This window comes from Homo sapiens, chromosome 7, assembly GCF_000001405.40.
Source record: "Homo sapiens chromosome 7, GRCh38.p14 Primary Assembly".
NCBI classification, from domain to species: domain Eukaryota; kingdom Metazoa; phylum Chordata; class Mammalia; order Primates; family Hominidae; genus Homo; species Homo sapiens.
This window is the reverse complement of record NC_000007.14, coordinates 41874079-41885239: the sequence shown is the minus strand read 5'-3', so window position 1 is coordinate 41885239 and position 11161 is coordinate 41874079. Positions and strand designations below refer to the sequence as shown.

General features: G+C 44.0%; 1 annotated feature.

Annotated features, from left to right (window-relative positions):
• Nucleotides 3252-3801: an enhancer, noted in NCBI's record as "active region_25901". NCBI's record gives its function as "activates an Ori minimal core promoter by ATAC-STARR-seq in GM12878 lymphoblastoid cells {active_cell/tissue: GM12878}" and the evidence as "EXISTENCE:reporter gene assay evidence [ECO:0000049][PMID:35858748]".

The following is an 11161-nucleotide window of genomic DNA, read 5'->3' as shown; positions in this document are numbered from 1 at the left end:
ACTGCATCTTGGAAGTGCAAGTTTTCTTGGCAGTCATTCCTGAGCTCTGTGAGGGCAGGGGCCATGTTTATACTGTTCTGGTGGATTTCTAGAATTTAGTACAGAACCAAGGACACAAGAGGTACTTTATAAATATTTCCAGAATGAATGAGGGAGTAGATTAAGCATAGTGTTGTTAAGTCTCTGTCAATCATGGTAACATCCAGGTGTTAGGAAAAGAACATGAGCCCCGGAATCAGACCAAATTTTACTTGAATCCTGGGTCCAGTAGTGGCATGGTGTGTTAGAATTCTCCAGAGAAACAGAACCAATAGTAGAGATAGACAGATAATAGAGAGATAGATGGATAGATAGATGGAAGATAGAAAAAAAGAAATAGGATATATACAGAGATCTGTTTATCTATTGATGATGTATAGATAGATAGGTAGATCAATTGATTGAGAGAGACTGAGATTGAGATTTATTTCAAGGAATTGGCTCACACATGATTGAGGGCTGGTAATTCCAAAATCCACAGGCCAGGCCCAGCAGGCTGGAGACCCAGGGAAGGGCTGGGCTTGCAGCTGGAGGCCAAACGTGATCTGCCACAGAATCCCCTCTTCCTCTGGGGCTTCTGTGTCTTGTTCTATTCAAGTTTTCCACTGATTGGATGAGGGCCAATCACATTACGGAGGGACATCTGCATTACTTGAAATCTATTCATTTAAGTGTTACTTGCATCTCAAAAGTACCTTCCCAGAAACGCCTAGACTAGTGTTTGACCAAATCTGGGTACCGTGGCCTAGCCAACCTAACATAGAATTAGCCCTCACATGAAGTGATCTAGGTAAGTTATTTAAGATCTCCTAGCCTCTGTTCACTTCACATTGATGCGATAATGCCCGCCTCATGGGGCGGTGACAAGGATTAAAACAGACAGCATGTCTGATAAACAGCTGTGACATTGCTGGCTCATGGTAGACAGTCTCACCTTCTTACCTCGCTCTCATTCCAACCATGCTCCTCCCCAAAAGGAGGGCCACGTGGTAGCAGAGCTTCGGAGTGTGGGACATTTTCTGCTCCTTCTACACCCTTCTTAGTGGAGGGGATACTCCTGAAGGAGAAGGACCCTCTTTTCCCTGTTCCTGGAGGCTGGCTGCATGCAGCCCATTCATTCTATTTCCACAGTCACGGAAAAGAGGGCTCAAGGAATGAAAATCTGCTGAGGTCAAAGCCCCATATAGACTACTGAATAGAAGTAGGGGTAAAACCCAGACTGGAATTGAATTCTGTGTTCCTTGTAGATTTTATATCCCCCTCACCCCGCCCAGCCTCTGGGTTCCACAGGAGCTCTGGAATCACAGAAAGTCAGCAAACAAGATTCTATTTCTACCAAGGATCCACTGAGCTCCTTCTCCCTGTCCACAGACATTGCAAATGGATGTGCATACAGACCTCCCTGTTTGGCTTTTGTTCTAATTTCCTTGAAATAGTTAGAGATGATTTTGTGTGATTAACAAAGTTTATTTCTTTGGTAAAGGCAAGACCCATAGACCTCCTACTATTTTAAGCAAAATTAGCTTTCTTTCTTTGTAAAAAAGAAAGATAAAATATTGCCTATCATGTGTGTGGCCTGAACACAACCTTCAAAACATCTTAAAGGTTATCCATCAAGTTTCTTAAAAGGAAATATATTGGTCTTAATTATTCTTATCTTATTATATAATATGCTGTGGATTTATTTTTTAACCTATAATCTTATGCCAAAAGAGGCCATTTAGGTTTATTTTTATTTGTAGAGTGAAACAGAAACAAAATATACGGGCCTATGTTTGCTGTTTTAAATTCTACTCTCTATTACTTTTCCTTTCAACTTGGAAAGGAATTTTGTGCTACAGGACGTTTGGCCCAGGGTCAGCGGCGCTCCCTGCAGGCCGGTGGGGATGGCCTGAGAGAATTCTGGGCCAGCAGGCGGCCATATATTTCTTCCATAATCCTGTATGCGCGGGCAAAGTATCAGGCAAAGGTATAAATAAAACGTTCTGACTCCACATATGGTATTTTGGGTTTACAAATCCTTCATAAACTTTTTCCATTCCTATCAGCAGTTTTATTCATTATGGGACATCCAGCAACTCTCCTTTCGGGATTATTTGAGAAGCAGTAAAGGCTTCCTGTGAAAGGAGCACGTTAGCTGTAAGATTTGTGCAAAGATCGAGTGCCTGGCGGGGAGTAATCCCTAGACTGCGGATCTCAAATGTTTGGTGGGGTTTCCCCTACTGCTGGCTTTCATGTTCTCAGGGCATCATTACTGCGGTGGTGCAGCCGTAATGATGGGAAAGTGCCTGCTTTCTCTTTTCCCCCAGGGCCCCAGGGTCATATCTATGGGCTGGCAGACATGTTTTCTCCTTTCTCTTTCCTGTTTGCATTCACCTTGTGATTTTACTGATTTGGGGGTTCAGAGTGGGAAATCAGGCCAAAAATATATACATTCGAGATTTAAAAACTGAGTTATATCCAGCTTCCCCTTGCAATTTGAAATTATACTCCTCTTTCCATCTCTGTGTAAGTATGGGTTTTGACCAGTTTACGGAAAAAGTATATATTGGATCAAAAAGAGGCAATAGTTGGGTGTGACCTGGGAGCCAAAGTATCTAGACACATCTTAATGGGTGGCCTCATTCGTAAGAACAAAGAGAAAGATCCCTTGCTGACTGAGTAGAGGAGAAACAGACATCCTCTGGAGCTGAGGCTGGCAGGGGACGCTACAGCGAGCCGGCCAGTATGAGTTCACAGCCCAGGTCACACACCCTCCCCTCTGCTTGGCAGCAAGCACTATGCCTGGCACAAGTTATTAAGTGTTGTTCAATGTTTTGGATAAATTAAGAGGGGCAAGTGCCAGACTAGATGGTGCCACATTTTTAACTCTGTCCTCTTCCAAACTGTAATCATCTTGGTTCCACCTGCTAATTACCATTCGAATGTATCCCTTCCACTACAATGGCATTGCCTCGCCTCTGATCCTTGGCTTCTACAGCTATTTACTATTACTCCAGATTGGGGTCCTCAGCTGCAGTCAGACCACCAGATAGATCTGTGAGTCCTCAGAGAAAGATCTACCTGTTAGCTAATAAACTAATAAACTTCAGCTCAGGGCCTCACTTGCACGGTCCCTTACAAGAGCTGGGGGAAGACCTTGCAATGTGTTCACATGGTCATATATTTTTGTAAAATGTATTAAAAGTGAGCTATATTTAGCCATAATTGGTTAAGACTGCTTCCCCTTTCTGTTTCGACTTCCCCTCTGTGCACCTACTGTTAGGGTGTCAGCGTCGTCACCAGCACTTTGGGGCCCCAGCTAAAAGGAAGTTGAGTTGCGAATATATTTAGTTTGGGTTCAGTAGGGGATATTTTTGTGGTTGGTAGTTGTTTCTGAATGCAGTTAAGTTATTACTAGTCATCCTGGTGTAGGAACGGCTTCTAGGAATACTCCTACGGCCCCCTGCACTGACGCACCCAGCCTCGTGACAGGAAGTGGAGGGTCAAACGTCATCTGGTGATATGAATTTGTCCTGCAGCATCTGACACCAGACGTTTATGCAGAATCAAGGAGAAGCAAAGTTTGAAATATACAAAGCAGGAAGCTGGTCTCTGGAAAATTCTTCCAAAGTCAGATATGTAAAATCGTAAGCAGAGGACTTTGTTTTCAATGACAGCTAGTCAAAACAGAAGTTGTCTCCTTTCAGGAATATAGCACGCCATGCTGTGTATACAATTATACAGGCCTCATACATTTTCCTTTCCTCCTTGATGAGAATTCTGCAAAAGAGATTTATTGGAATTCTCATGTTTTAACCTATGGTTGTGGTATTTATCATCATTCTAAAGTTCTATTTTTTTTGAGGTTTATCTTCTCATTCTAAATAACTGTTCAGTTTTATACCTAATTATATATTCTTGGTTTTGAATTTTTTTGCTTAAGAAGGGCTCCTCAAATTGTATAACATCAGGTTCCAGAAGATCTGTGTAAGCCACTGACTGTCCCTGGGGTTGTAGTCAGCCTGGTCTTCTCTTTTTTCTAAATTGAGACGGAGTTTCACTCTTGTTGCCCAGGCTAGAGTGCAGTGGCTCTATCTCGGCTCACTGCAACATCTGCCTCCCAGGTTCAAGTGATTCTCCTGCCTCAGCTTTCCAGATAGCTGGGATTACAGGCATCCACCATCACACCCGCTAATTTTTTGTATTTTTAGTAGAGACAGGGTTTCACCATGTTGGCCAGGCTGGTCTCAAACTCCTGACCTCAGGTGATCCACCTGCCTTGGCCTTCCAAAGTGCTGGGATTACAGGCATGAACCATTACGCCTGGCCAGGCTGGTCTTCTTAAAGCAGAAGGCTAGTAGGTGACGGCCCCCTAATTGGAATACTTTGACAACCTTTATCCTTCATAAACTGACATCCACTGCCCTCCTCCTACCTTTCTCATGCTATAGACCAGCCATGTGCACACTGACAGCTCCTGGGACACACAGCTTCATTGTTCGCCCCTCACCTCCTTTGACCATGTGGATCCCTGTAATCCCAATGACTACTTCAGTATTTGTTAGATAATCTTCTGTTTGTCTTTCAAAATACAGCAAAGGCAGAAAATAATGCAGGTGAGGTGAAAACCTGCCAGCATTAGAGTTGGCATAGGGTAGACTGCAGGGCCATGAGTGTTCACAGCTGGCCTCCTTGAGCCAGCCTTTGTAGGCTTATAGGGCCTGGAGCTCAACCATCAGTGGGAAATCTGGCATATACCCCTGGTGCCTGGCCCCTTTCTTGACAAAGAGTGAGTGCCAAATCCGTGTTGTGAAAGGCATCCATGAGACATCCCACTGTGGGTCCACCACCTAAAGCTCTGCAGCAGGAAGGATGTTGGTCTGGACTCTGTCCAGGCCTCTGGACTTTGCTTTTCCCTTCCCCCGACCTTCTGGTTTCTCCCCAGTCTATGTCACACGGTGCTCTGCAGTGTCTGTCTGGTCTGGTTATGGAATATCTCCAGCCACCTCCATTCTCATGCCTGCAATTCCTGACATTCCTGCTTTGCCCCATCTTTCAAGGCCAGAGCTCTGGGAATACCCTGGAGAGAACCATTTGTTTCTCCTTCATTCTTCATTTATCAAAATTTTCTCATTATCTTTCTCATTCTTAATTAGTGTCTGCCAAAGGAAAGGTGTCTGTAAATAGACTTCATCTTATATTTGTGACTAAAGGGTCCAAATCACATGTGGAAAAACAGAGCAGTAACTGGAGTTGTAGATATTCTTTGATTACATATCTAGTATTATTGGCAGGGACATTTATGACAATAAAGAAAAGGCCAGTTATTGTTGACAATATTTACTGAAAGCCATTTCAAGCAAGCACCTTTTCATTATTTAATATGTGCTTTATTAAATCACAAGACTGTTATACTAAATTAAGTCAGAGTTTTATTAAAATTTATAGATGATTGTCCCCTCTTTATTTCCCTTCCCATCATCTTCTCTGTGTCAGCGTATCGTAGTCTTTCGTTTCAGTTTAGGGATTTACATGTAAGGAAGATTGTGCCAAGTTACAGTCCTCCCTTGCCTCCCTTAGAATGCACATTATGTATCAAGAAAAGATATAAGGAGACTCTGGGAAACGTCCAGGCCAAAGAAAGCAAACGTTAAATCTATCATTCTCAAAGCATGCCCTTGGCCAACTTCACAGAGCTCTCCTGTGATTAGCTTTTTGGGGAATCATGAAAACAGTTTCCTTTGCATCCCCAAAGTTATGAACTTTATTTCTTCTTCCACATATCCAACTGGCCAGTGTGAAAGTCCACCAGTTTCTCTGGCTGGAGAGGGATACAAATGCGGCTCCACTCCTGAATCCCAGAAGCTGCAAATCTGCAGAGATAAATCAGCTCTTCACATTTGCCATCTCTAGGGTGAGCAAGGGGAGGGGTCCTCAGGACAGAAAGTGTATGTACCTTTTCTCAAAGCAGAAGCTCACCATTGTCCTGTTAACTTGACCGCAAGGAGTGACTCAGGCAGGACAGCCCATCTCCCAGCCTTTCCTCTCCAGGTCCAGAACTTTACAGATGAGATCAGCTTGAAAGTTCCTTTATCTGAAGTGTACTGTACTCAGTGGGGGCTGAGAAGTCCCCGAGGACTCCAGAGCTTCCTTTAATTGCCTACCAGATGAAGGGGGCTTTGGTGACACTTGAAGACTGGCATCAGATAGATGATAATTTCCCAGATATAATTTCATCCAGCTGGACTTGATACCAAATGCCAAATACCAGAGAATCATAATAAACCAGACAGTCTTCATGAGTGAGACACTTTCAAGGACGTTCACTGTTATTGCAACAAAACTACAGTTCAATTCCCAGCTCCACAAAATTCTGATCTTGCTTTCATCTTTTGCAAATAATAAGGGTTACAGTAGGATCAAGAGTGCGGGCTGGGAGTACAAGATAAATGACAACTCACCACGCCTTCTTGATAACACCAAAAGGAGACTATTTATTTTATGCAAAAATAGTTATAATTCTTATGTGTGCTCAGATCTATTTTACCCCAAAAGATAAGTAGTCTTTTTTTTTTCTTTCTGGCAGATAATTAATAGTTTCTTATCTACATTTCCCTTGTCCAAACTAAGCTGCTAGGCAGGGTAGAAGAAAAACATGGGCATGTTCAATATGTTAATTATAAGGTTATGACATTATAAAATGTAATCTAAATACAGTGGCCTTAAAGATCCTGAAATCTGTGCCAAAAACGAATCACATAAGGACAGAGTCACCACAAAATGTTTGAGAAATGACCAATTACATTTGTTTCTTCCGTCATTTCTTTGAATAGAGCTTATGTTACTTTGTAACTTTTATTTGTCCAATATTCCTGTTGAATATTTCAAGTGTGAAGTGAAAGGGTTTGGGGACACAACTGTGACATGATATTGTCAGGCTAAGATGTGTTCAGTGCTTTAAAAAGGAAAAAAAAAAAACCACTTTCGGAGGCCGAGGTGGGCGGATCACGAGGTCAGGAGATGGAGACCATCCTGGCTAACACAGTGAAACCCCCTCTCTACTAAAAATACAAAAAATTAGCCAGACGTGGTGGTGGGCGGCTATGGTCCCAGCTATTCGGGAGGCTGAGGCAGGAGAATGGCGTGAACCCGGGAAGCGGAGCTTGCAGTGAGCTGAGATCGCGCCATTGCACTCCAGCCTGGGCAACAGAGCGAGACCCTGTCTCAAAAAAAAAAAAAAAGGAAAAAAAATATGTTAGGCAAATATAGGTGCTTCTTAGCCTATGGTTCTGCGAGGTCCCCAAACACCCACATGGCTTATTTAGTCAATATCCTGGACTCGAGGGACTGAGAGCCTATAACAAGCCTACAAGGAGGCTGCTCAAGAGATGGAGGCAGGCCGGCCTTAGCTGGAGAATTTCCTGCTAATGTAGCTGTGTGGGAAAGGAAGGCCTGACAAAGAGGCAAAGGGAAATGTTTCATATCTCCAAATTTTGCAGTAACCTAGCTTGGACTTTAAGCCACATCCTCCTAGAGTTGGACTGGGCTCCTGCTGTTTTTATTTCTCTGTAGCTAACCCCTTGGTGTCAACGTCTCCCAACAAATCTGACGGTTTCATCTGCCCAGCAAACCTCATTGCTTCCAACAAATGGCTTTATTTAACTTTGCAGAGAAGACTGAAAACAAAGCATTTTTCATAGTTTATATCTGATGTTCATGTTTTATATTCTTCTCGTTCAAATCGTATTCTTCTGCCTGCTTTCCAGGGGAGAAGTTTGCGTGTAATCCATTGCCCTATTCAAATCCCCTCTCATACTCAGTCACTGCTCCTAAGCACATCTGGATGCTCAGCCCCACCTCTAGGAGCCAGTGCCCTTTTCAAAGAACAAGCTGACTCTTTCACATGCCTGGCAGGTGGAGGTGGGAGGAGCTAGGGTAGGAGTGAGGGAAGAGGGGGCTTCTACTCTCCAAATTCTTTCACAAAGTCAGCTGCCTGTGTTCCACGTCTATCTTTCTCCTCTGATACCCGCTCTGGTGCGTTTCCCTGCCCTACCTCACCTGCTCCACCTCGTTTGTCCCTAGTCTTCCTTTTCATCTGGCAGCTGCATTCCAGAATCTCCACCACAGGCCTGGGCCTCACCTGCATCCGGCTCTCAACACTGGACTTCCACAGAACACCCTCCTAGCTGACCTGGCTACACTTTGGGCATGGCACATACTAGATATGATTATTCCAAGTGGCTGGCTTTTGCCAAGCCGCAAATTGTATTTTGCCAATCATTCTTTTTTTCCCTTTAATTTTCAATCCCTTATGTATTTCAATAGGAAATGTAATCCATCTGTTTCTGGTTCATTTGCAATTACAATAACTCATTAGAACCTTGTGTTGTAAGACTCGTTTAATGTTCAAGAAGCCTTCTGAACTTTTTCACAGGACTTTAGAAACACTCTTCCTAAAGGTAATCTTTGGCCAGCTATAAAGCAACTTCAACATGACACTGTGATTTCGGTTCAAGAAGTAGATTAGCTAAAAGGTGTTTTCTCATCCCTATTAAGTGATTGTTCAGACTATGTCTTGGTCATTGCATTCCCACAGGATGATATTTAATTAAGAAAATTGCTTGTGCCTGGAGGGCAAAGCCTCACACAGTGCCCTTCATTACAGGGTGAGGGGGGTGTTCAAAGCCTCCAGAGGATGGAATCTTCCATGCCCTGGAGTTTAAACCCTTTACAGTAATTTCTCAACAGTTATGAACAGGAAGTTCTAAAGATCCAACCATTGGCCGGGTGTGGTGCCTCATGCCAGTAATCCCAGCACTTTGGGAGGCTGAGGCAGGCAGATCACTTGAAGTCAGGAGTCCGAGACCAGCCCGGCCAACATGGCGAAACCCCGTCTCTACTAAAAATAAAAAAATTAGCCGGGTGTGGTTGTGCATGCTCGTAATCTTAGCTACTTGGAAGCCTGAAGCAGGAGAATGGCTTGAACCCAGGAGGCAGAGGTTGCAGTGAGCTGAGACTGTGCCACTGCACTCCATCCTGGGTAACAGAGCAAGACTACGTCTAAAAAAAAAAAGATCTAACAGTCCCAATTCCTTCTGGGAAATCTTTAAATACATGCATACACACCAGTGAAGATATCAGATAGAACAGATAGAATTGAATGGTGGCAAAAGCGGGGAATGTGCACAGAAGTAGGTCTTTGGGGATGGAAGTCACTGTAAGTGGAGCTACCTGTGGAAATGATGTGTAGACAATTGAAATGGGGGCTGGAGTTTCCATTCCGGGAAAGTGAGAGAAATGAGGAGAATAGTTTTAACAGCTCTTGCTTTGCCAGGTAGGGGAAACTACATACAGAGTGAAGTAAATAGTGGATGTCGAGATATTTAGACGATCTCCAGGGCTGTGGGCAAGGCATGAGCTGCAGGAGGGAGAGCTGGGGCAGCTTGTGTTCTTCTGCATGCTCTCTGGGGAAATCAGTCTCTAATGGTGCTGATTGGCAGCACATGGCCTCCCAGACAAACAATACTAAATGCTCAGTCTTTGCAGAATCTGAGTGAAAAGTTGGTCTGGGCCGTGTCTGCCCTGACAGGTTGGACAGGCAGCTCATGTGTTTGAGTACTAGGTCCATGCTCGCTGGTCATCACTCGGGTCGTGTCAGTGGTTAATTATTCTGTAGCCTTCTCTTTTGATTTACAGTTTGTAATCCCATCCCATGCACAAGCTAGTGAGAGCATAGTTGGGGATCCCAAGGAGTCACAAACAGGGGGTGCTTTTGTTGGGTTCCAATAAAAACGTGTGTCCTCCACCAGAACAGTGTTATACAAAGTACATGGCAGACTCACACCAGGAGAGATAATGAGAGAAAAACAGAGTCATAGGGAAGGGAGATCCAATTTTATCTGTTAGGAGCGCAGCTACAAGCCACCCTCAGACTTCCTCCATCCCTAATTCAACAAGTGTTGAGTTGTGCATCTTGTGTGGAGTCAGACATGAGCCTTCTCTTCAGAGAATGAAGGCTGCTTTATGTGGCCAACATGATAAAGAAAAGAGGTGTTTGGAGAGTCGGGGGCTCCCTCCCACAGGAACCAGTGGTCAGCACAGCCCCTGTCCTTGTCACTGGAATCCCTACTCCTTCTTCAACACACTTCCAAATCCTACATGCCACTCCAAGTCCAGGTCAAGTCCCATTTTTCAATGAAGTCATCCTAGTCCCCTGTCTGGGTGGTGCCCTGTTCATCTCTGTGCCCTGTTTACTCACAATCCCTGAAGCTTTACTGATGTTCCCTTGCACTCATATTCTCCTTTTTTCAGATGTGTGACTGGTCTCCTCCAAGTACACGGTTATATCCTCCATGACTAGGATTGCATCTGCGATGCTTGGTGTCTCCACAATGCCAGGTATAAAACCTTCATTAACTGACTTTTCAACAGGGCTCTGAGCCTCCTGAACCCTCATGTCACTCCATGTGGCCACACTGGATAGCTCTGGGGTGAATTTTTATCTGAGTAAGAAAACGTACTGCTGGGCTCTGGAGGCAGCAAAAAGGGGTAGATCAGGGATACAACAGAAAGGAGATCTTGAGAGGCATTCTTGAATTCTTGATGGGGGGAGGGGGTTGTTTGCGATGGTGCCTTCAGGGAAGGACTCTTATCTGTGTGCCCTGTGCATTCGGAGAACTCTAAGTCTGTAGCAGAGCAAATCAAGCTGACCTTTTGGCTTTAGGTTCATTTGTCCAGACAACATGAGGCATCCTGGAATTTCCATCTTCCCTCCTGGGAGCTTTCTTTTCCCCCATCTGCTACATCTTACCCAAATGGGGCTGCAGATCAGCAACAGTTGATCAGATCAGCATCAGTTGGTTTTAGACCACATCCTCCCTGCCCTCTTTCTCTCTCTTGTACAGACAAGAACCCAGGGTGTCCCAATGAGAGATGCTATTATTGGATATCACACCATAATTTAAATTAAACTCTACATAAAGTATACATTTTTATGAAATGAGATTAGTCCATTCTCATGTCTAGGATCACTTTAGATCAGTGATCCCCATGATCTGTATTCAATGTCACTGCATTTGAAATTTATTATTTTATGTAATTTTTATTGTACTTTAACTCCACCAACTTTCAACACTAGGAT